The sequence below is a fragment of the Homo sapiens genome, chromosome 12 (genome assembly GCF_000001405.40).
Source record: "Homo sapiens chromosome 12, GRCh38.p14 Primary Assembly".
Taxonomy (NCBI): domain Eukaryota; kingdom Metazoa; phylum Chordata; class Mammalia; order Primates; family Hominidae; genus Homo; species Homo sapiens.
The window spans coordinates 127,023,235-127,049,920 of NC_000012.12; the positions used below are offsets into that span (position 1 = coordinate 127,023,235).

Genomic DNA, 26,686 nt, shown 5'->3' on the forward strand with positions numbered 1-26,686 from the left:
GAATCAGAGGGGCAAGGAGGAGGAACGGAACATGTTTGCTACTTAGCCTGCTCTCTGAGCCATAAAATTCCTCAAATATCAGACCCCAGACCTTTTCCCCAGTAACGAGGTGATAAATGCACAGAGAGACACTGATGGAACAGAGAAGAGAAAATGTTCCCCAGGACACTTTACATCTGAAAGTGTTCCACGTGCACCACTGTGGAATAAGATCTTACAAATCCTGTCAAACTTCTGTGTCAAGCTTAACTGAATTGTTTTTATTTTGTGGGGAGAGGGAGATTGGGAGAATTACTAAAATTAATTGTTTTTACAATGTAAAAAGAGGGTTATTTGCAAACTATGCATCTGACAATGAACTAACATCCAGAATCTACAAGGAACTTGATCAAATCAGCAAGAAAGAAAAATCCCATTAAAAACTGGACAAATGGCGTGAATAGACATTTCTCAAAATAAGGTATACAAATGGCCAAAAGATATGAAAAAAAATGCTCCACATCACGAATCATCAGGAAAATGCAAATTAAAATCACAGTGAGATATCACCTTACCCCAGCCAGAATGGCCATGATTAAAAAGTCAAATAACAATAGATGTTGGCACAAATGTGGTTAAAAGGAAATGCTTGTACACTGCTGGTGGGAATGTAAATTAGTACAACCTGTATGAAAAACAGTTTATGAAGACTTATCAGAAAACTAAAAGTAGATCACCCATTTGATCCAGCAATTCCACTACCAGGTATCTACCCAAAGGAAAATAAGTCATTGTATAAAAAAGACACCTGCATGTGTGTTTGTATCAGCACAATTCACAATTTCAAAGATATGGAATCAAATAAGTGTCCAACTGATAACTAAATAAAATAAATGTGGCATATATATGCCATGGGATACTACTCAGCCATAAAAAAGAACAAAATAATGTACTTTGCAGCAACTTGGATGGATGGAGCTGGAGGCAATTATTCTAAGTGAAGTAACTCAGGAATGGAAAACCAAATACCACATGTTCTCGCCCATAAGTGGAGCTAAGCAATGGGTAAGCTAAGGGATATAGAGTGGGATAATGAACATTAGAGACTCTGAAGGAGGAAGGGCGGGAGGCAAATGAGGAATTAAAAAGGACCTATGGGGTAAAATGTACATCATTCTGCTAACTAACAGGCATACTAAAATGCTGTAAGAAGAGCAGTTGGGGGCAGGGTCAGCTACACTGAGAAGCTTCCTGGGGCAGCTTTTCCCCAGCAAATGAAAATGTGTCTGTAATCCAGAGACTGTTTTTCCCTCTGGGGTGACCTCTCTATCATGAAAATCTGCCACCATCATCACCCATAAACCTGGTGACATTATTCCATTGTTGCATTCAACACAATCTGTTCAACCAATGCTCACTGGATGGGTGGTTGGACGGGTGGACATGTCTCTATCACATCACTGGGCTGTGATCTCCATGACGCCAGAAACTGCTGTCTTCACTGGGGTCGCTTCCATAATGAAAATCTGCTGCCATTATCACCCCTGAATCCTAGAGTACATTTCCACTGGCCCATTGCATACAGTCAGTACTCAATCAGTGCTTTCTTAATTGGTCAGTAAAAAGCGGAATCAACAGAAAGGGAAATGAGCTCTGGTTTTAGGAATGGCAAGAGGAACAGAGATAGGAAAACACACACAGCTCAGCTCAAACCTTCACCACAGGTCCACGTGTTCATCCTTGTGTATTAGCATCAACACAGTGACAGGAAGCCAGGGCTCTGCAGGGTGCAGAATTCCATTCCTAATCTGTAAAGACTGTAACTGAAACTTAGATGAGTAAAGGGACATTATCTAAGGTAAGTGGTGAGTTAGTCACACACCTGGGTTTAGAACCTGTGGCTCCAAGCCTCATCCACCTCAATGCTTTCTCACATGGGCCACATTCATTTAGCCAACAACACTATGAAGCCTGTGTGTTCTGTGCTACGAAAACTCAGATAAATAAGACACAGTTTTAAGTCTTGTCTTCAAGTCTCTAGGTTGTATTTGAGAATTGCATCAGGAATTTATATATTTGGAATTCATCATTTTCAAATATAATGCATATCAAACTGAGCCACCAGATATGAAAACAAAGTTGACTCCAACTCAATCTGAAGCTAATCCAGATTTCTAGTTGTCTGGCTGCTTTCACTTTTAGTTGAATGACTGACGATTACTTTAAAACTCATTTCACCTAAAACAAATGCTTGATTTCTAGCACTTAGGGAAAAATGTTCATTTGTGCCTTTCACTTGATTTTTTTATTAATTACAGAAGAAAGAATTATTTTAAAAGAATAGTTTTATGAAAAGAGTAATTCAGTCATATCCTAGAATTGTACCAATGAGTAATCATTGAAAAATATTCCCAGGCATGGCTCTTCTGCATTGCCTGGTGAAGTATTTTTGGTAAAACCTGACATTTTGATCAACTGAATTATAGATTTTGAAATTGGAGTATATATAATACTATCTATGGCCACAAGGGGATACAATGGCTCTATTACTAGAGGAGGGAAAATAGAGCTGTCTTTTAAGGCAAGACATGAAGGCACGAGTAGCCTTCAAGACCAATGGCATAATAACCACCTACCATCATGCCCACACTTCTATCAATAAGAGCTTGGGAATTCATTTCAGTTTTACCTTCCTGTTTTGCTTACTTTTTTAACTGTGCATCTATCTGTGCCCACGTACATTAGAAGTCCATTAAAACAGAACAAACCAAAACAACAGCAACAACAAATAAACAAACCAAAAAAACCTCCATCTGATTCTAATTAGAATTTCCCATAAAACTTTACACACTGTTCTCTCCAGTTTCCATTTTGGTCCATGACAGCTCTATCATTCACAAAACCACTATAGTGGCCAATGCAGCTTTTGGCTCTGACCTATGGAATGAATGAGGGTGGAGTTTGTTTTACCCACTATGGCACTTCAGCAAGATGGCAGAGCAGACACCCATTTCTCCCTTCATGCCGAATTGATAGTAGTAAGAAGATACCAATTTTCTTAACAGGAGAGAAATCTCCATTTTCATCCTTGATCCCTGTCACCCTTTCCCATTTCTCTATCTATTGAATGTTTTCATGCAAAGCTCTGCATCTGGCTAGATCGGTTTAGAGAAGAGCTTTCCTAAGAAACAAGGGCACAAAATGCCCACATCACTGAGAGATATACCCAGAGCTGTGTTACAAAAGTCACTTGTCTTGCTTTGAATCTACTAAAATTTACTTTAAACTGACAGGTGATTTAGCGGGTGTGGGGAAGGGAGAATGAGCAAGCAGTGACCTCTACTGCATTTCAGCCAATAATTAAAGCATAAAAACTTTCGTCAGTGTTTACCAAAATAATTCTTTGTGTCTGCCATTTTTGACCCTATAAGCCAAACAGTGCATATGTTGTTATTCTCTTATGTGTGATAATTATTCATTTACAGAGTGGATGACTGTGGGAAAATAGAAAGAAATGAATGGATGGAATTGAAATGAAGTGATCTTCTCATTATGATTCAAAAAGGAGTTGACATACGATATGGGCATTTGTACATTTCAGGGAAAAATTAAAAGGAGTTGAACTTCACCATGAATTACAGATTACCTCTAAGTCTGTTGTATGTTTTTAGGCACCAACTTGTCTTCTGGCAACACAACACTTATCAGAATAAGTTAGGCATGTGCACGTGGGTATTTCATAGTGACTTCCACCTAGGCCGTCTGATACTAAGACGTGAGTGGCTCTTTAGTGAAAGTAGAGGTAGACCACTGACAATCAGGGACCTCCTCAGCATCACCTTTTCACCCTCTGCCTTGGAAGACTGATGCCTTTAGAGACCTGTGTACTCACAGGACATAAACATGGTGGGTTGGCGTCATAACAGAAGAGAGTTTGCTGAGTCCAGGATTCTCTGTGCAATGTAAAGACACACAGGGCATGCTAACATTTATTGTAAGGGAGGGTGACAATTCCCCTATATGCCTAAATACAAAATAAAACTTTCCCTCACATTAACGCTGAGAAAAATAGTGCGTGTTATGTGCTGACCTCCCAATCACATTATTGTTTAACACAAAGTACATCTGGGGGAGACCAATCAACCAGAAACAACCTCTATTGGTGCTAATGTTAGATTCTAAAGGAAGTCTACTCATGCAACTAGCGAGAAAAGGGATGAAGGCACATAGTAACGATTTTGTCATTATTCTTACAGGCTGGTAGACCTTGAAGTTTAGTTTCCTACCTGCAGTTTAAGATCCTATGAAAACACAATGTGGTAAGTAGCTGCCAATATAACATTACACAACAACAACCAAAAAGACCTTAATGCAATGCAAATGGATACAAGTAGTTTAGTTTATTTTCAAAACAAGCACTATATATATATATATACACACACACACACACAGACATACATATATACATATGTGTATATGCATGTAATTTCAATACATACATATATGTATACACATGTATATTTCTACATTATGTATGCATATATGTATATATGTATGCATACATAAATATACACACACATATACATATGTATATATGTATATATGTATACGTGTGTGTATATGTATATATGTATATGTATGCGTATATGTGTGTGTGTATATATATACACACTGTGCTTGTATTGAAAATAATATATATGTATTTTTCTCTTAAAACACATAGACAGAAGTGAATATGATGAATTCTGAGCACCCAGTCAGATAACTCCATGAGTGATGAAGAAAGCACTGAAGTCTAATACGTGAGCCAAAACAATATGAATAAAATTGTTTCTTTAATTAAGTGGAAAATTATATCTACGTTCCTGTGTTATTTTGTATAATATGTGTCTTAAAACTATATAGAGCTAAAACTATAAAATCAATATTTTATTTTTGTACCTAGATCTCTAAGATCTAAATATTTACATTAGCAATTGCATTGATCTTTTCACTGGAAATAGGGGGCTGCTTGCCTGATATTTTTGAGTGCTTCAAGATGGGGATTATCTTAAAATCTGTGTTCACCAATTGGAATGTGCCAAGCACTTGTGTGTCTGCTTTGATTTAGAGATGGGGGAGCTGGGTAAATATGTACCTAGATCAGAGTTGAGAACAAACCCTGGGCCTTGGAAGCTGCATTTAGCTCACAGGTTTCCTTTGATGTGCTCATTGTTCTTTGGAGTTTGAATGAGTTGCCCTCTCTGGACAATCCTGTGCTCTCTTTGTCAACACATTCCCTGTCACTCCCTGTACGTCTCAGTCACCTTCACTCTGATATACTGCCTGCTGTATAATAGGACATCATCAACATTCACCCATTCAAGGCCTCCCTTTTTATTTAATTTCATTGTTTCTGTTTATGTTCTAGTTAAGAATTGCCGTATAACAAATGACTCCAATACTTAGCAACTTAACACAACTATGAATTTTTTTTTTTTTTTTTTGAAATGGAGTCTCACTCTGTCGCCCAGGCTGGAGTGCAATAGTACAATCTCAGCTCACCACAACCTCCACCTCCAGTGTTCAAGCAATTTCTTCCTGAGTAGCTGGGATTACAGGCACCCACCACCATGCCTGACTAATTTTTCTATTTTTAGTAGAGACAGGATTTCACCATGTTGGTCAGGCTGGTCTTGAACATCTGACCTCGTGATCTGCCCACCTCGGCCTCGCAAAGTGTTGGGATTACAGGCGTGAGCCACCGTGCCTGGCCTATAACTATGATTTTACTCTTAATTTTGTAGAGCAAGGGATCAGCTCAGTAGTCTTGTGTGGGATCTCCTGCAATTAAAATAAGCTATCAGCTGGGGCTGCCATCATCTGAAGGCTCAACTGAGCTGCAAGTCTAAGATGGTGCACTCACATGGCTGCAGCTGATGCCACCTGTCAACTTGTAGCTCAGCTGGGGCTGTTGACTCTGTATTTGCACATGGCTTCTTCCCATGTGTCAGCTGGCTTCCTCCAGAGTAAGTGTCCCAAGAGAACCAAATATGCTGAAGGCATCACTTCTGCAATACTTTAATGGTTGAAACTGTCAAAAACCCACTCAAACTCAAGGGGAAAAAACATAGAACCTACATCTTAATGGGACAAATTTAAAGTAATCTAGGGCCATTGTTTTAAACCACTCATCTCATCCCTATCCCCACCCATCATTCTTTTTTCCCCATAGGTACTACTCTAATATATTTGATATTTGTGCTTAAAAATATTTATTCCTGAAAGATATATAGTAATTAGCTGGTGACACAGTTTCCATATAAATAAATAGTATTGTGCTCTTATTCCTGGTCTTTTTTGTTTTAACATTTTCTCCTTAGCACTGTATTTTGGAAATCCACTCATGTTTATATGGTTGTCTATGGAACTCTTCAGGCTACTTATATATACTTGAGCCCACGTAAAATATTTATTGTAAGTACCATTTTGTGCACTGAAATGTGTCTCCCTAAGAGATATGTTGAAGTCCTAAATCTTGATACATGTGAAGTGCAACCTTATTTGGAAATAGGGTCTCCGCAGATGTAATTGGGTTGAGATGGAGTCATACGGGAGGAGGATGGGCCCCTTGTCCAATATGACTGGTGTTTGTATAATGAGAGAAAACAGATAAACTCGCAGGGATACCATCGTGTGAAGACTGAAGCAGTGACTAGAGTGATATGTCCACGAGCCAAGGGTCACCCAAGCGTGTGGGAAACTATCAGAATCTCAGAGAGACGCATGGAATAGACTTTCCCTCAGAGCCTCCAGTAGAGAGCAACCCTGTGGCACCTTGATTCTAGATTTCCAGGCTCCAGAACTGTGAGACAAGAATTTCTTTTGTGTTAAGCCAAGTAGTTGATGGTAATGGTACTTTATTATGTAGCCCCTAGGAATCTAATACAGCTATCATCACAGAATATTTCCTGAACCTTGCATAAATGAGATACAGAGGTAAAACCAAAATTAATAACCTTACTCCAAAGGAAGGACTGCATGTTCACTTTCCACCCATTCAATTGTCCCTTTGCCATAATTACAGAGGTAAAATCAGCCAAGATCTCTCTTCTTCCCATTTGTAAAGGTTGTCCTTACATTGAACATATGTTTCCTTTCTTCCTAGTTAAAAATGCACCATCTCTCTAAGGAGGTGCCTGTTCATTGGGTGTTCTTCCCCAGGAATGACGTTTCCTGTTTTATGATGGGAAAACAAGACGTTCACACTCCTGAGATTCTGGGCATCAGGTCTACATCTCTGTCATCATCCTGGCCAGCGTCTACCTTGCGAAATGATCAAAATGATGACCTCCACAGGCGCCGTGTCCTCCCTTGGAGGTTATAAAAATAACAGGACAAAGGCTGCGTCTTGGTCAAATTTGGAGTTCACTGCCTAACATAGGATTGACACAAAATGTTTAGGGAATATTTTGTTGTGTTATATATATTTTATATCTATATATATATAGATATAGATATGATACATATATAAGATATATATATCTTAGATATGTATTATATGTGTATAGATATATGTATCATATATATATACACACACATATATATATCTACACACACATATATATATCTACACACACATATATATATCTACACACACACATATATATATACACACACACATATATATATATCTACACACACACACACATATATATATATATATATCTACACACACACACAGACACAAACACAGTTTCATTAGAAAAGAATTGGAGGGCAATTTTCACATTCTCCCTTACCAAAGTTAACCTTATCTTCTTCTCAGCTATGAATTGTTTCAAGTAATATAATTAAATACTCACACACCAGGATGCACATCGAAAGCATGCTTACAGAATATGTGTTGTGTGATCATTAAAGTAATCAAAGCTTATGGCTCAGAAGTAGCCTATAAACATTTTTTGTAATGAAATTACAAAGAAAAAACACCATAACACCAGAAGTAAATCCTGAGAATAGCAACAGGATTGAACCCTGAGTTCTTAAAGCGGTTTTGCCTTACAATGGAGAACAACTATTTCATCTGTGAAAAAGAATGCAAAAGTGGGACAAGCTATTGAAGATCAATGTTAATTCTACAGGAAAGATGTTTTTCTGAGGCCTCTTTTTAAACGCATGTGTGCCTGTTTCTGTGATCGCTTTTTAACAAAGAGAGGCAGAGAGCCACGTGGGGCTTATTACCCTTTCTCTGAAGTAACTCATGATGCAAGTGTTAACATTTAACACAATTATGAGCAATGTAAGCTACTTCTTTTAAGAAGATAGATTTAAGTTACGACTCTTTAATGGATATAATGCTTTTATTAATTAGAAACAGCTTTAAAATGTGTCTTATTTATTAGCTTGCACTATTGGAGGAAAATAATCTTCTCTTGGTCTCATTTTGGATAAACACACTAGTTACAAGCATGAATTTTTATGCACAAAATGGAATTCTTTCTTAGGGAAAGTTGGAGGTTAGGATCGCCACTCCAGGTGATCATTTCAGTCCTCATACCACAATTGTGAGTTTGTGAGATACTCCCCATTTTACAGATGAAATAAGCAATTTGTATTTTATTTAAAAAAGAAAAGCACACACAAAAAAGGCATCTTTGGCATTCATTCTAACCTTGAGGTCGTTGTCAGGATCCTGCGTTCCAGAATCCCTCCTATGTGAAGCCAAGCTCAGGTGCAGCCCAGGCCACTGCCTTCTTTTTGTTCTGAGCCCTGGAATGAAGGCTATGTATGGGCTTCTGTCCCATCCTGGCCAGTTGTTGACGATTAACCATGGAAAGCAGTTTCCCCCGTCTGGGTCTCAGGTTTTCTAATCTGAAACAAAAGTAGCAGACAAGATAATCATTCCTTTGTGACTTAAAGAAAAAGTATATGCCCCAACAGCCTGACGTGCCCAATTTTGTCCTGCAGGCATGGGACTCTTTTTTACTTTACTCACATACTGCTTTAGATATTTCTGAGTCACTATTTTAAAATTGGGAGATTTGACACAAATATATGTGTTCTTATCAGTTTATCAAAAACTGGAAGCTCAGGCAACACCAGCCCTCCCTTCCCGCCTGAGGAAGCCAGCTGCTCCCTTTCAACAGGGTGTGTGCTGATATCCACACCATGTTACCACAATCCCCACCACTCCCTTTTGCCTCCCTGAAGCTAGCTTCAGTGTTAGTTTCTATATATTGCTGTGGTTGGACCTCTGATGTTTTTATAGACAAAAAAGAAAACAAATAGTTTCTATATCTACGTCATAATAAAAATGAGAAGATAAAAGATGGATCAAAAAGTGGATAATTTTGAAGAAGCTGGCTCCTGTAGGTTCCTGAATTTGTCTCCCATATCACAGTCAGGGCTTCTTGACTCTAAACTTAAAAGCCCATGACACCACTTCCTAGAGTCTCTCTGTCTTTTTAAAAACTATTCTTTATGTTTCTCATCTAAATTTATTCTCCTTACTCAATTACAATTAATCATGTATAAGTGTTTATTGAGAGCTGGGGAGTAAAGAGAGGCAGAGAAAAACCTAAAACATACTTGATTTACTTGTATATTTAGATTGTAGTTTGGAAGACACATTAGAAATATAGATAATAATATCATATCCCATTCTATAACAATAGTAAGCCATTTATCATACATGCATGAATTTGTCAGGTCTTGTATCAAGACACTTTCAATACATTATCTCATTTAACTCTCGCAGAAATCCTAGGGGGGTAAGTATTCTTATTTCCCTTTTACGATATGGAAACTGAGGCTCAGAAACTTGTCCCAGGTTGTCTGGAGAGTATGTGGCAGAACTAGGGAAGCTCAAATGAACATATTCCAAAGTTTGTGAACATGATGGCAGTGCTTCTCAGACCAGCATTGCTGAGGGGCCGTAAATGTATTCCAGGATATCTTCACATTCTTCATTGGATAGAAATGCTGTGTTCCTTTCAAGAACGTGTTTCTTTATTTTTGTCTTCTTTTCTTGTCTGTATATAAATGCAGAGATTTGATTTAATTGTACTCCTCATCTCATGGCACAGAAACATCAAGGGTTTTTATGTGTCCCTGTTACGGTTGTATTTCATTTCCCCCCTGATACAAATGTCTTCTTCATCTCTTTCTCCTGTATAAACAGAACTCAGATATATTTGTGACATGTGCTTGACCCTGACACATCTTATTGCAAAATACGTTGTAATATTTTGTGCATTTTCTTAATTCACATAAATAGCATTGGACAGGAAATGTGATAATAATGCTCCAAGTTTTCTTATTGCATTGATTCAGTGGCCACATTAGAGTGTGTTTTTGATTTGGTCAGTACAAAGTAAAGGAATTAAGGAAGATAGCATTTAAGTTTTACCACAGCTTTCTTTAAACTAGTCATCTTGAACTAGAGTAAAAATGCATATTTTCTGACAGATATGTTTTGGAAGGTGGAAACATGATGACCTCAATAGAAGATTGTCAGACTTCGCAAATAAAAGTGCATGGTGGTAAATTTGAATTGCAGATAAATAATGCATACTTTTAGCAGAAGTATGTTCCATACAATATCTGAGACATACTCTACTATAAAATTATTCACTATTTATCTTATAGTCAAATTTAACTGGGGTTTCCTGTACTTCATCTGGTAAGTCCAGCTATGCTATATACCATAAATGAAGCTATGTGAACTGCTTGGAACGTCCCGTGTTGCGCGGAGCATCCATTGTGAGATGGACTAGGAGGGTCGGAGTGTGCAGGACAGGGCTTTGGCAGAGACGGAAGAATGAGGAAGATGTGTATGGTTTCAGACTGGAAGCTCCATTCAAACTAAACTCATTTGGGGAACAAACTGTGAAGCAGAATTATCTACCAGGAGGACTTATGAATTTGGTTGAGCACAAGGAAATTGTCCGCAGCCTGAGGAAATGAATTAGGGCACAAACGCTTATAAACACAATACCATTAACTTGGATAATAAAAAGGTACATAATTTGATGGAGCCAAACACAAATGTCCTCCCTCAGATTCCCAGTCGCCACGTTTCCCCCACCAGTTTATCATTTTTATTTTGATTGCCACAGTTTATGGAAAGCGAAAACAATAGGTATCTATAATGTGAAATTATTTGCACATATAATGTTTGCTATTCATCATATTATTCCCCTCTTTAGCCAAAGTTGATTCTACCAGCTATGTATGATTTTCTTAAGATAATCTGATATGTCTAAGTTTCTTCTCCTGCCAGATAAATATTTATTCTAAAGCCTGTCAGTTTTTGTATAAACGTCACCCTTTTCTCTCTGAAAAGAAAGCTATCATTCTTTAACAAGAATTGAGAAGCTCTGCTAGTTTTGTTCCAGGCTAATGGAACACCTATGTCAATTCACAATGAATGACAGCAGTCAGGAGGCACAGGTGTGGGGAACCCATCTCTTTTGCTAGTTGTGTCACCTTGTGTTAATATTAAAAATGAAGTGTGTTAATAGAAAAAAAGAGATGAAACGCTGTAGCCTTTTAAGAGATGTGCTACTGTCAGGCACGGTGGCTCATGCCTATAATCCCAGCACTTTGGGAGGCTAAGGCGGGTGGATCACGAGGTCAGGTGTTCGAGACCAGCCTGGCCAACATGGTGGAACACCGTCTCTACTAAAAATACAAAAAAAAAAAAAAAAAAAAGCCGGGCATGGTGGCGGGTGCCTGTAATCCTAGCTACTCGGGAGGCTGAGGCAGGAGAATCGGTTGAACCCAGGAGGCGGAGGTTGCAGTGAGCCGAGACCACACTGTTGCACTCCAGCCTGGACGACAGAGCGAGGCTCTGTCTCAAAAAAATAAATAAATAAATAAAAAGAGATGCGCTCATATAAACTTCTGGTACCAAGACAAGGTGGTGTATACGCACTTTCTCCTACTCTTCACTCATAAATACAACTAGCAATCCTAGATATGACTCAACAGAGAGCAATGGAAGGACTCTGAATGTGGAAGAAAGAACGCAGACTAGCTGGGGACCTCAAGACTTGAATAACAAAGTGGTGAAGTCTCTTGGTTTTACTTTGACTTCCCACACATCTCCCAGGCTGCCACCAGAAAGGATTACAATCTGGACACCCCCAATAGGCATCGGCAAAATACTCCAAGAAAAGCAGCTTTCTCTGGTTGTAGAACTGGGGTAAGGGGCAGCAAGCAGACAGCTGCTGCACACCTGGGGCATTTGTTGGCTAATCTGCCTGCAGCATATCAGAGCACCAGGGAACCAACTCAACCATTGCTACACACCTATAGCACCAGCGAGCTGACCCACCCACAGTGGCAACAATGAAGCCCACATAGGCTGATCCACACCTGGTGCTGTATTCAATGGCATCAGGAGACCAAGGACCAGCATCATCTGCCACCCCATGGGAGGTGGCCCAGGAAAGCACTTTCTATAGCTGCAGGCGGCACCAGCCAGGATTGGGTGTGAGCCCGGCAGCACCAGAAGAATAAAGCAGAACAGAGAAGCACTAAAAGGGCTCTGAAAACTAAACTGTTACTCAAACCACGTACCAAAAATATATGCTAGACATACGCCAAACCTAAACAAGCCTAATGCCTGCTAAAAGAAAAGACTTGAATAGGACTCAATGTCTTTTAAAGAACAATAACCATTTTCAGGATACAGTTGAAAATCACTCAATATACCAAGAACCAGGGAATCCGCAGTTTGAGGAAAGAATAAGCACAGATACAAATACTGAGATGAATCAGATGTTAGAATTATCTGACAAGGATTTGAAAGCAGCCATCATAAAAAATACTTTGACAAGAAACTACAATTCTCTTGAGACAAATGAAAAAATTACAAAATCTCAGTAACGAAGTAGAAGTTATTTTGAAAGACCAAATGGGAATTATAGAACTGAAAAATGCAAAAGAAAGAAAAAAAACCAAGCTGGATAGGCTCAATAGTAGAGTGGAGATAGAAGAGATTCAGTGGAACAGAAGGAAGATGGATAAAATTTACTTGATTTGAATGAAAGAGAAGTTGATGGAAAAAAAATGAACAGAGCATTCGGGATCTGTGGGTCAATAAAAAAAGGCTTAAGTTTTATATCATTAGAGTCACAGAAAGAGATAAAAACAAGTGTAGGACTGAACTGCTTTTCAAAGAAATAACGTCTAGAAACTTCCCAAATTTGGCAAAAAGACATCAACCTACAGATTCAAGAAGCTGAGAATATTTCAAATGAGATAAACCCAAAGAAAGCCACACCAAGATATGCCATAATTAAACTTCCAAAAACTGAAAGCAACAAGAAAAGATTAAAAACAGAGAGAAAAATATACATTATTTATTAAATACCAATTCAAAGGACAATGAATTTCTCATCTGAAATGACAGAAATGAGAAGAAATTGGGGCAACATTGTTCAAATACTTAAAGAAAAAAACACATAAAATCAAAATCCTATATCTGGTGAAATAATCCTTCAGAAATGAAACAAAAAAAGCATTTTCTGTTAAAATGTAACGAAGAGAATATGTTACTACAAGATATACCCTGAAAGAATAGTAATAGGGACCTCTCCAAACAAAGTAAAATGGTAGCAGAAGAAAATGTTGACCCTCAGAAAGAAAGAAAACAGAATTATATATAAAAATAGAAGCAAATAAAATAGACTATCTTTCACCTCCTGAGTGTCTTTAATCATATTTTAGGATCGAAGCGAACTTATTATCTATTGTAGTGATCAACGTATGCAGAGGAGATTATGTAGGAAAATTATATTTGAAAAGTGAGGAGAGCAAAGGGACAGAAATGGAAGTAAGATTTCTACGCTTCATTCAAAGGGGTACCATATCTATACCTGCATCCTGTGATACCTAGTGTTTGTGTGTGTATGTGAGTGTGTGTATGACCATATGGTAACATGGTACCTTGAAAACAGACCCCACAAAGCACAGTGACAATGCATGTGACCAGGACTGAACTTTCACAAGTTACAAACATTGAGGAAACTAGACTTTCTGTTTTTATACACACACACGCACACACACACACACACACACACACACGCACACACACATACAATAACTAGAGCATCTACTAAGAAAACCATACAATGCAATGTGCTCAATAAGATGATAAAAGATGGAATTCTAAAACCTTTTCATGCATCCCACATGAGGACACAAAAAGACACAGAGGAACAAGAAGCAGAGAAAAAAAAAACAAATAAAAACATAGCAGAATTAAACTCTGACATATCAGTAATTACTTTACATGTAAATGGTGTAAATATGAGATGTAAAAAAGAAAGAGTGGCAGGATGTATAATTTCTCACTTAATGTCATTAATAGGCTCTTGGAAACTGCGACTTTAAGAGAAAGACATACGGCAGAGCCGGTGTTTTTTCTCATCAACATTATAACCAGATAATGTTGAAGGAAACGACGTTGTTTGAGGACCTACCATACATCTTTTCACTTAAAGTTGTAGTTTCTAAGAACCTATCAACATATTTATGACTTTAAGTGAGGACATACTGTATACACATATATGTGTGTGTGCGTGTATATGTATGTATATATGTGTGTGTAGAAATAAATACATATATGTGTGTGTGTGTGTATATATATGTTGGGCAGGAGAGTGCAGGGAAGAGGAGAGGGCCAGGGCCAGGAGTTTTCTATATCTATGTCTGTATCTATAAAATATTTCCATCCTGCTGTTTCTTTCTGTTTATATTTATCCTGCCACACAAATGTGTGTATATCTATATCTATCTCCCTTTATATATGTGAAATATAGGTATATATAATATATAGTTATAGGTATATATGTGAAATATAAGTATTTACAATATAAGTATTTACAAAATTGTATATACATGTGTATGTATGGATGTACGTATCCATCCTGACTTATTTTAAACGAAAGCATGGCCCGAAAGCATGTTTACAGGATTCTTACTCTATTTTAGTTCAGGAAAAATTTAATTCAGCCAAGAAAACTGAGGCCTACTGGGTTCCCACACCATCAGAATGACCAAGGGGCCAGTGTGTCAAGGTCAAAGCCAGCCCCACCCTCCCTTCTGCCCCACTCCCTCCTCCCCAAGCTGTGTCTGCTGCAATCCTGGGGGAGTCTTGGAAACAGTCACTACAAAACACACTGTGGCAGTACATGTGACCAGGACAAACTTTCCATGAGCTACAAACATGGAAAGAACTGGACCTTCTGCTTTTATTCATTCTTTTACACTTCTGTGAACACTTTTCAAAGTTTGGCTTATTTTTTTTCAGGCCCTGACTCTGTAGGCTGTGTTCACCACTATATATTAAACATAAAAATCATGCTGTTTATGGAACATGGCAATCAGTGACTGAAAAGAAGAAACTTCTAACGGTTTTCATGGTAGTCGGATACAGTCTTGTGAAACTGTGTCATTCAAATCTACTCATTAGTGAAAGATGATTTTACATGTCTTTGAAGTAAAAATACCTTTTATCTATGGAGTTTAATTGAAAGCCTACCAGAATAAAAACTGTCACACGTGGAGCTGGTAGATCCTGTTAAACGGAACACTAATGATGATGAATCTGAGGTATGTCATCAACTGCATGAAACAAGTCACTTTCATCACGAAGAGAGGGGATCAAACACGGGAAAAAGGCTTTGTCTTTCTCCACCCATGGGATCTATGTCGTCAATTATCTCCTGCAGATAATTATTCACGCTTATGCATTTCTCTATCTCTGCTTCTGTGAATGTCTCTAAACAAGTTCTTGTTGCCAATAAATGTCTCATGGAATGAGTTGCTAAAAGAGTTAGTTAGAAACATGAATTGCTTCTGAAGGTCCCTGGGCATCCCATGTGCTCACCAGGAGCCTCAAACAATGCGACTTATAGTCCCCAAGCAGGCGGGCTCCGCCTGAAACCAGCGGGCAAGCGGACCATCTCCTGTGTTTAACTCCTAGAGGAAACTGGGTTACAGCCTTTCATCCCTTTTTTTTTTTTTTTTTTTGAGATGGAGTTTCGCTCTTGTTGCCCAAGCTGGAGTGCAATGGTGCAATCTCAGCTCACTGCAACCTCCGCCTTCCGGGTTCAAGCAATTCTCCTGCCTCAGCCTCCCAAGAAGCTGGGATTACAGGCATGCACCACCATGCCTGGCTAATTTTTTTTTTTTTTTTTTAGTAGAAACAGGTTTTCAACAAGTTAGCTAGGCTGGTCTTGAACTCCTGACCTCAGGTGATCTGCCCGCCTCAGCCTCCCTTATCCCTTTTATACACAATGTGCTGCAGAGGCCTGGACATTTCTGTCAAGTATCTATGAGCACCCATTTGTGCAGCACAAACTCATTTATAAAGGAGAAAGCACTTCAAACTACAAAGATGCTTCAGGACGCATTATTCAGTGTTCTATGTTGCCAATTGCCTAATAGATTTCAAATTTAGCTTCTTTGTTTCAAATTCATGGAGGTAAATTGGGACCAAGAAATTCTTTGACTTAGGACACATGTGTTATTTTAGTTATTAAAAGTATTTATTTAAACTATCAAAACAATGTATGTTTTGGTAGTTTAAATAAATGTACAGTTTAAATAAATGTACAGAATGTACAGGTTAAATAACAAATGGAAATCCCCTTTCTGTATCATATCTGCCTAACTGTCCTGAATCTCAACCTTGCAGATACTAAAAAGGTTAATGGTTTTAAATATATTTCCCCATTACATTTCTTGGAATTTACACACACACAGAGTGTGACAGAGAGAGAGCGAGAGCAGGAGTGAGTGAGTGAGAGAGAGAGAGAAAGAGACGAAGATTTCGATAATGTTAGTGTGATAAAAAGCTATGGCCATATGTTCAGAAAGACATTAATTTTATAAGGGTGTGTGTGTGTGTGTGTGTGTATCTAAGTATTTGTCTATGTTGTGTGGAAAAAGTACAGAAATGAAGAAGTGGGCAATTCTTGAAGGATGATGTTGGGCGAGTAAATTAAGATACACAATGGGGAAGTGATATGGTTTGGCTGTGTCCCCACCCAAATCTCATCTTGAATTGTTGCTCCCATAATTCCCACGTGTTGTGGGAGAGACCTGGTGGGAGATAATTGAATCATGGGGGCGGTTTCCCCTACCCCGTTCTTGTGTTAGTGAATAAGTCTCACAAGAGCTGATGGGTTTACAAGGGGTTTCCCCTTTCCTTTGGTTCTCTTTTTCTCTTGCCTGCCACTATGTAAGGTGTGCCTTTCGCCTTCCACCGTGATTGTGAGGTCTCCCCAGCCATGTGGAACTGTGAGTCCACTAAACCTCTTTCCTTTTATAAATTACCAAGTTTCAGGTACGTCTTTATCAGCAGCATGAAAACAGACTAATACAGGGAGAGAATAGAGCTCCCCATCTTCTGAGATAAGACCTTGCTGTCAGTATGGCCTTGGGGCTATATGCTGCAATCATCCCTATACACAGCTTAAGATAGACAATACTCTCACTCCTTCTAATGCTGGCTTACCAATTTTGAGTCAAAAAATTACAAAACACCTAGTTCTGTGTGATGGGCTGCCTAAATTTCATGAGTAAGTTTTCCTTTCTATTTGTTGGAAATAAAGCACAAAAGTCCATTTTATATTTAAACATTATTTTGAATTCAAATTTCAAGGCATTTTGAGATCTGTTGCATCATCAGTGATTCTCAAAGTATTTCTAGAAAATCTAGTGCTCCTAGATGCTAGTGGAGGAAAGGCATCTCTGGTTAAGTTTATTGTGGGTTATGTGGCATATATTGATCTTGAGAGGTAGCAATGCACGCTGAAGGCCCTTAGAAGCTTTGGAATAAAAAACATGACTGATAATATTTTTAATGCTATTTTTCAACGTGTTTGTTCAGAAAAATCGTATCTACCCACCTATCTATTAATATCTATCTACTTATATGTTTATACCCTTATTCTCACTAAACCTCCATTTCTTCTACGTGAAATGGGTACAATGCCACAGGATCACTGTGACAGCCTCGTGCGTTCATGACCGCACGGTGCTCTGGATCATATCTGGCATAAAATAAGCACTCGGCAAATGTGAGTGACTGTATCAGGCAGTTCCCACATTGCTGTAAAGAAATACCTGAAACTTGGTAATTTATAAAGAAAAGAGGGGCCACGCACGGTGGCTCACGCCTGTCATCCCAACACTTTGGGAGGCCAAGGTGGGCGGATCACTTGAGGTCAGGAGTTCGAAGCTAGCCTGGCCAACATGGTGAAAACCCATCTCTACTAAAAATACAAAAATTAGGTGGGTGTGGTGGCACATGCCTGTAATCCCAGCTACTCGAGAGGCTGAGGCGGGAGAATCGCTTGAATCTGGGAGGTGGAGGTTGCAGTGAGCCAAGATTGTACCACTGCACTCCAGCCTGAGTGCTTCTTTTTAAGACTTATTCTCAAAAAAAAAAAAAGAGGTTTAATTGGCTCCTGTTTCCACGGGCCCTACAGGAAGTGTACTAGCTTCTGCTTCTGGGTTCTGGGGAAGCCTCAAGAAGCTTCCAATCATGGTGGAAGGTGAAGGGGAAGCAGGCACATCTTACATGGCCGGGGCAGGAGGAAGAGAGAAAGTGGGGAGGTGCCACACAATTTTAAACAACCAGATACTGTGAGAACTCTATCATTATACAGTACCAAGGTAGATGGTGCTAAACCATTCATAAGAACTCTGCCCCCATGATCCATTCACCTCCCACCAGGCCCCACCTCAACACTGGGGATGACAATTCAACATGAGATTTTCTGGGGACACAGATCCAAACCATATCAGCAATTAAGCAGACACAAGGTGGATTTTAAGACATGCTTCAACATGTACTCTAGTCTAATGTATGCCAGCGTCAATGATAATCCGGCTGAAGTGCCCAACTGAGGCTACCCTTTAAACTAAAAATAATCAGTTACTATTTTATAAGACTGACTCAGATTGAGAAGTCTCAAATAGTAACTGAGAATCCTGTATGTTTCGCAACCTCCTTCACATTTGTTTCACCTACAGTAAATTCCAGCTGCTCACACAAAAAGAGGAAGTGTGCAGATGGGTGTATTTATATATGTGTGTGATTGTGTATTTTATATGTTGAGCTGAAACTCAGGGAAATTGGGCTGTTTCCTTTTCTTGTTTCTATTTATTTTCTTAGTTATTAGGTTGAGACCTGTCAATATCATTCACTTGACACTTCCATGCAGCATGGACCACAACACACTCTTCTCACTCTGGCTCACACATGCAGCCCTTTCTACATATCAGGCTATGAGCTTCCAACTTTCTGAATAACAAGATATCTATTTCCTTGCAGTTTCACACTCTGTTCACACTTGATTTCCCTGTTTATTTGCTTAGTCAACCCTACTCTCTTCCAACACCCCTACCACACTCTTTCCTTATGCTACTAGATCTTTAATTGGCCACAGTGATCATGCTCGTTTATTAATTTTAAAAATATTTATTGACTGTCTGCTCTGACCTGGCCTGTGCTGGGTGATGTAGCCCCTAACGGGCAAACATTCCAATCTGTTATATTTGCTTCTCCCCGTCTCTCTCCAGCACTCACAACACAGGCTGAATATTGTAGCAGTATGTGTGAGACGTGCACAAGGATGAATGGAAGATGGATAATATTGTATAAACGGAGGGTTGAAAGCAAGTGCTCCACCTGAAAGACAGTTATAGTTACAGAAATGAAAACTGATACTTTTTTTGAGATACTTCATAATTTCAAGATGCAATTATATCTCCATAGGGCAATAGGATCCCATAATTACAACCACAATCCTTCGGGCCCTGCATTTTAGACTCTATAGCCCCCAGAGCTCTTGAGCCCTCTAACACACTGCCATCCTGGGAAAACACTCTGGGGACCCCCTCTAACAGGCCTGATGCACCTGGTGAAGCTTCTGCTTAGAGAGGGGTCACAACTCAGCCTGGATCTTCAGGTAAAAGGTTGGAACATCAGGTATTCCAGGTTCACAACATGACTCATTCTAGGAGACTCCAGCTAGGCTCTGTTGTTTGACAGAGGATGGCCAAGTTGGTCTTAAATGAAGGCCTAGGTTGGGGCACGTGCAGATCCAGGCGGAAAAGTCAACCCATGGGATGCACCTGGGACATGCCAGGTGTGGACCCTTGAGGACCTCATGACTGCATTCTGCAGGGAAAAAGACAAGAAACCAATCAGACATGTTCACTGCGGGGCTTAGCCTTGCTGAAGAAAAACAAGAAAATGCCTCAGTTGGAGAAAGATCCTATGAAGGCCATCCTGAGAGGTAGGGAGAGGAGAGTATTGTGAAATGAAGTCATCCAAAAAGGGGATTTGGAGCCACGGTATTAGTGAGATCATACCAGACATGAGAATGACTCTAGGCTGAGCCACAGTGAAGGAACTCCAGCAGGTGAGCATTGGGAAAAGAGGCAGAAAGAGCCTATCTGGGGTCAGCTCTGGGATTGGGTTCTTAGCGGAGTTGGGCTTGTCACCCTCGGCGGCTAGGAACCCATCACCTATATGATCATGCTCCACAGGAGATCCATGCTTCTTGGTGTGGTTCCATTGATACCTGTAATCATCATACCTCAAGCTCAAGCCTGGCTGTATCACCAGGGGCAGCCAGATAGTAGCTTTGCAGACCATGTGGTCTCTGTCACGAGCAGCAGCCACAGGCCGTATGTGTCAAGTGTAGCATAAACATGTATAAACAATCAGATGTAGCTTTAAATTCTTTCTTACAAAACATGCATTGGACTGAATTGGTCCTGAAGGTCATTAGTTTGCTATCCCCTGAAGGAGTCTGTAGCTTGTCTGAATATGAAAATAATTACACCAAATGCTTGGTTAAAACAAAACAACACAGTAACAACACTTTAGTTTCTGCCAGTAAAAGTAGGAGAGTCAATAATACACAATGGCTAAGAACTCAGTCTCTAACATTAAACTTACTTGAATCTAGTCTATAACCAATTCTTAATGGTATAACCCTGGGAGAGTTTCTTGGCTTTACTAAGCCTCGACTTCTTTGTCTGTAAAATGAGAATAATAGATGAATTTACCTTTTGGAGTGTTCTAGTGATGCAGCGATAATGTATTTAAAATGCAATGATTAGAACCTGATATGTGTATGGGTCAATTTATATGAACTATTGTTATTAGCAATATGTTCTCCTATCATGAACCTAGTTGGAAAGACATAACCTCAGGTGAGACAAACCTTTGGTACAACAAAGCCTGCTTGATAATCTCATTACCAATAGTACATTTCTAACTTCTTGCCACTCTCTCATGGTTCATGTTTTTGAGGATCACCTTTCTTCAGCTGGTCAGGAGCTTTGAAGTTCCAAACTAATAGGACAATATTAGCAAATAAGTAACGTATAGATTGTTGTCACAGTAATTTAAGAATGTTTAGCCAAGGAAACATCTGGAATGATATCAGATACGTTCTAAAATATATAATCTGACAGATTAACTTCATGGAGTTAAAATTGTCCTATGATGGTTCTCAGAAAATCGCTTGAGTTTGCTTTACTGCTTAGGATCAGATTATAGCATTAAAGTAAAGGAACATTGATACCCTCCTTGGTCTCTGACCCAGACTGGAGTCAGTTCTCATCATCTGCTGCTAATCTTTGTACCTCTTCATAGAGATTTTCTTAAATTCCAAAAGAGCAATTTTCTGATAAGGATAGTAGTAATATCAGCTAATGTTAACTTCCTAAAACTACATAGTGAAACTTAAGCTGGAGAAATGCCATCTCCTTTGCCTTTGGAGGAGCCAGAACTATGGAATAAAAATGACTACATGCTTATCATGTTTCCTGATGGGAAAGTACACTTCACTGACCGGTAGTTAGCCTCATGAACTCTTAGTTACTTCCAGAATTATCACTTCTTGGAAGTGATTACACCAGGGTCAGGGAGACCATTTTATTTCCCTTTATTTTTACATTAGACAAGGAGTATCTATGCTGATTATTAGTTATAATAAGCAATCCTACCTTTTGGTGATTTATACCATTCATTTATCTCTTGCAAACCTCTTAGCAAATTTATAACTAGGCACAATTATCTGACAGAAAGTAATAATGGTACCAATCATTTGCAGTGTGGCAAATGCTATTCTGATTAATTTACATGTTTGAATCTATTTATTCTTCACAACTTCCCTAAGAAGTGCGTGCTATTATTATCCTCACTGCAAGGAGACCCACAGTCAGATGGACACAATGTGATATGCCAGGATTTACCTTTATGGCCTGGGTTTTAATTACTGTGTTACAGAGATATTCACACGTCTCTGAATCTTTAAAACCAACTTTTTAAAGTACTTACAAATGGTATTTTAAGAATTCCACAATAACAAAAGATTTGTAAATTTCTTGGAGAGTAATTTTATTTAACAGTGAGAGTGATAGATGTTATCTGGAATGAGGATATTGTGCTGGCCCTCAGACAGCTACATAATTTGTCATGATTATAAATGTACAGGCATAGGCTGGCAGAGAGCTCTATAGTAAATGGAATTCTATTCTGAAATGAATACGTAAACTGGTAGAGATTTGCACATAAATATTAGGCAGAGTTAATGCTCTGGGGATTATAGATATTTATGATTTTTTAAATACCCAGGCCATCAGCCAACATATCCTTTACGACAGTGGAAAGAAAATGAAACTAAGGTGGGACTCAGTGACTCACGCCTGTAATCCCAGCACTTTGGGAGGCCGAGGCGGGTGGATCACCTGAGGTCAGGAGTTCTAGACCAGCCTGGACAACATGGTGAAACCCCATCCATACTAAAAATACAAAAATAAGCCGGCCGTGGTGGCAGGCACCTGTAATCCCAGATACTCAAGGGGTGCTGAGGCAGGAGAATCGCCTGAATCGGGGAGGCGGAGGTTGCAGTGAGCTGAGATTGTGCCATCGCACTCCAGCCTGGGGGACAAGAGCGAGACTTTGTCTCAAAAGAAAAAGAAAATGAAACTAAAAGGCTAAAAAAAGATGAATAGGGCAACAAAGAAAAAAAAGAAAAGAAAAGATCAAGTAGTTTGAGAAAAAGACACAGAAAATAAAACCCATCTTTGCTAAAATCTGTAATAACAATTTATGTAAAAATCCTAGATGAGAATTATTAAAACCCAAGATCTAACTAAAAATCAAAATATGTTCCAATATATTATTTATATGGTATACTTCAGAGACAAAAAGCAGTTCTATTCATGGCCATAAACTCAAGGTCATAAAAATAAATTAGCACAGCCCCTAAGAAAATTCACCCACTGACATACATTGTAGCCACATAACTTACCATTAAACCAGATAATGTAGTGACACTTCTGGCATCCATTAAATCAGATAATATGGCAACACTTCTAGGGGGCATTAAATCAGACAGTATGGTAACACTTTGAGGATGCATTAAACCAGGTAATACGGTAACACTTCTAGGGTGCATTAAACCAGATAATATGGTAATACTTTAAGGATGCATTAAACCAGACAAAATAGTGACATTTCTAGGATGCACCTTGCCCTCCCACCAGCCTGATCATTGCACATAGGAGACTCAGAGAGTTCTTACCTTTAATGTAGATTCCAAAACTTACATTGGGGGGACCTTGTACATGCTCTGTAACTCTCTCAGCCTCAGTTTCCTCATATGCAAAATGAAGGAAAATATCTTTCCAACAGAATTCTAATGTTGATTACATGAGCCAATATGGTATATTAAATCTTATACATTAAACATTACACATTAAATTATATGGTCTAAATTATAATGTTTGGACTATAGTAAGGATCTTATAATTTAATGTGTGGGATTTACTATAAGATTAAGTATATACTATATTACAATATAAAATATGATATGCATTTATATAAAATATTTTACACTCTATGTTTTATAAGTATTAGGTTGGTGCAAAAGTAATTGTGGTTTTTGCCATTGAAAGTAATGGCTTTTATTACTGGGCAATACATGTAATATATAATTTATAAGTAGGATTTTATACAGTAATTAAATGGTATTAAAATATTAATAGTATTGAAATATTAAATGCAAATAGTATTAAAATATTAAATTAAATTATCAAAATTTTCCTTGTCCTGAAGTCACATAAAGAAAAACCTCATGGAAATAGAATGTCTTGGATTATAGACAGGTCATCTTCTCCAGAACTGGCAGTTGCCATGTGTGTTTGGCAGCACTTGGCGAGGCGGGGATGGTCAGGGAAGATATGTTGGAGAAGGATCCACCTACTGTAGTGAGCAGGAGGGGGGATTTTCAGGAGGAGGGAATCAACCATATGTTATAGTCATGGATTCAAGTGTGAAACCATAGTAGACAGTTCTGGAAGGTAGGTGGCCAGAGGTTGCATGCTCAGTCTCTGAAGGAAGATGTTCAGCACTCCAATCCTGGCTCTACTAATGGTATGAGAAGGCAGCTCCTTCCAGCATATGACTGTCAATTGTTAAATTTTCAGGGAATTTGTGAGCCAGTCATTAAAGCAACAATTATTAGAAATTAATGGCTATAAACTTATAATTATATAAATCACATTTAAAAAGTAAGAAACACTCAAAACTCTTCACATTCTAATTATTTTTAGTACATCAAATTACTGCCCAGGGTCTAGAGATTGTTTGTGACTAATGTATCTGTACACTGGGAATCCTATAAGACCATGTGCTAATGTGAAGTGCATTATCTTCCCAGCCCCATATTCTGTGATGTCAAGTTAGTAGTTTAAAGTCAGCCATAGTCGTAGCATTTGCATAGTATCGATACTATAAGAAGTTTTAATTTAACAAATATAATTTGTATGAGACTAAGAAAGACTCCTACAGGAGAGCACATGGATGTACCTTGAAAACATTGTGCTAAGTAAAAGAAGCCAGATAAAAAGGTCACACATTGTATAATGCTACGTATGCACAATGTCCAGAATAGGCAAATCCATAGAGACAAAAAGCAGATTAGCAATGCCAGGAGTGAGAAAAGGAAGAAAGGGGAATGAATTGCTCACAGGTACAGAGTTCCCTTTGGAGTGATGAAATCATCTGGAATTAGATAGATGTGATGGGTTGCACAACTCTTTGAACATAATAAAGACCATAGAACTATACACATTTTTTTTATTATACTTTAAGTTCTAGGGTACCTGTGCACAACATGCAGGTTTGTTACATATGTATACATGTGCCATGTTGGTGTGCTGCACCCATTAACTTATCATTTACATTAGGTATATCTCCTAATGCTATCCCTCCCCGCACCCCCCACCCCACGACAGGCCCCGGTGTATGATGTTTCCCATCCTGTGTCCAAGTGTTCTCATTGTTCAATTCTCACCTATGAGTGAGAACATGCGGTGTTTGGTTTTCTGTCCTTGCGATAGTTTGCTCAGAATGATGGTTTCCAGCTTTACCCATGTCCCTGCAACGGACAGGAACTCATCCTTTTTTATGGCTGCATAGTATTCCATGGTGCATATGTGCCACGTTTTCTTAATCCAGTCTATCACTGATGGACATTTGGGTTGGTTCCAAGTGTTTGCTATTGTGAATAGTGCCACAATAAACATATGTGTGCATGTGTCTTTATAGCAGCATGATTTATAATCCTTTGGGTGTACACCCAGTAATGGGATGGCTGGGTCAAATGGTATTTCTAGTTCTAGATCCTTGAGGAATCACCACACTGTCTTCCACAATGGTGGAACTAGTTTACAGTCCCACCAACAGTGTAAAAGTGTTCCTATTTCTCCACATCCTCTCCACACCTGTTGTTTCCTGACTTTTTAATGATCACCATTCTAACTGGTGTGAGATGGCATCTCATTGTGGTTTTGATTTGCATTGCTCTGATGGCCAGTGATGATGGGCATTTTTTCATGTGTCTGTTGGCTGCATAAATGTCTTCTTGCTCATGGATAGAAAGAATCAATATTGTGAAAATGGTCATACTGCCCAAGGTAATTTATAGATTCAATGCCATCGCCATCAAGCTACCAATGACTTTCTTCACAGAATTGGAAAAAACTACTTTACAGTTCATATGGAACCAAAAAAGAGCCCACATTGCCAAGACAATCCTAAGCCAAAAGAACAAACTGGAGGCATCATGCTACCTGACTTCAAACTATACTACAAGGCTACAGTAACCAAAACAGCATGGTACTGGTACCAAAACAGAGATATAGACCAATGGAACAGAACAGAGCCCTCAGAAATAATACCACACATCTACAACCATCTGATATTTGACAAACCTGACAAAAACAAGAAATGGGGAAAGGATTCCCTATGTAAGAAATGGTGCTGGGAAAACTGGCTAGCCATACGTAGAAAGCTGAAACTAGATCCCTTCCTTAAACCTTATATAAAAATTAATTCAAGATGGATTAAAGACTTAAATGTTAGACCTAAAACCATAAAAATCCTAGAAGAAAACCTAGGCAATACCATTCAGGACATAGGCATGGGCAAGGACTTCATGTCTAAAACACCAAAAGCAATGACAGCAAAAGCCTACATTGACAAATGGGATCTAATTAAACTAAAGAGCTTCTGCACAGCAAAAGGAACTACCATCAGAGTGAACAGGCAACCTACAGAATGGGAGAAAATTTTTGCAATCTACCCATCTGACAAAGGGCTAATATCCAGAATCTACAA

General features: G+C 38.8%; 2 long non-coding RNA genes across 2 annotated transcripts in view, besides 3 other annotated features; one reads left to right on the forward strand and one right to left on the reverse strand.

The window, feature by feature from the left end:
- LOC105370063 (uncharacterized) overlaps positions 1-4,803 on the forward strand; it is a 51,177-nt gene extending 46,374 nt beyond the window's left edge. The window contains exons 5-6 of the long non-coding RNA XR_007063518.1: positions 4,236-4,298; positions 4,703-4,803. This is a non-coding gene — a long non-coding RNA (uncharacterized LOC105370063). The remainder of the gene's footprint in view (positions 1-4,235; positions 4,299-4,702) is intronic.
- The window catches only part of LINC02405 (long intergenic non-protein coding RNA 2405), a 145,171-nt gene that overhangs the window by 108,008 nt on the left and 10,477 nt on the right, over positions 1-26,686 (reverse strand). Inside the window, exon 2 of the long non-coding RNA NR_104646.1 lies at positions 8,633-8,832. This is a non-coding gene — a long non-coding RNA (long intergenic non-protein coding RNA 2405). The remainder of the gene's footprint in view (positions 1-8,632; positions 8,833-26,686) is intronic.
- Positions 15,337-15,537: a silencer, noted in NCBI's record as "peak2032 fragment used in MPRA reporter construct". NCBI's record gives its function as "represses an SCP1 promoter by STARR-seq MPRAs in K562 erythroleukemia cells {active_cell/tissue: K562}" and the evidence as "EXISTENCE:reporter gene assay evidence [ECO:0000049][PMID:32103011]".
- Positions 18,804-18,933: an enhancer, noted in NCBI's record as "active region_7324". NCBI's record gives its function as "activates an Ori minimal core promoter by ATAC-STARR-seq in GM12878 lymphoblastoid cells {active_cell/tissue: GM12878}" and the evidence as "EXISTENCE:reporter gene assay evidence [ECO:0000049][PMID:35858748]".
- Positions 18,917-19,117: a silencer, noted in NCBI's record as "peak2033 fragment used in MPRA reporter construct". NCBI's record gives its function as "represses an SCP1 promoter by STARR-seq MPRAs in K562 erythroleukemia cells {active_cell/tissue: K562}" and the evidence as "EXISTENCE:reporter gene assay evidence [ECO:0000049][PMID:32103011]".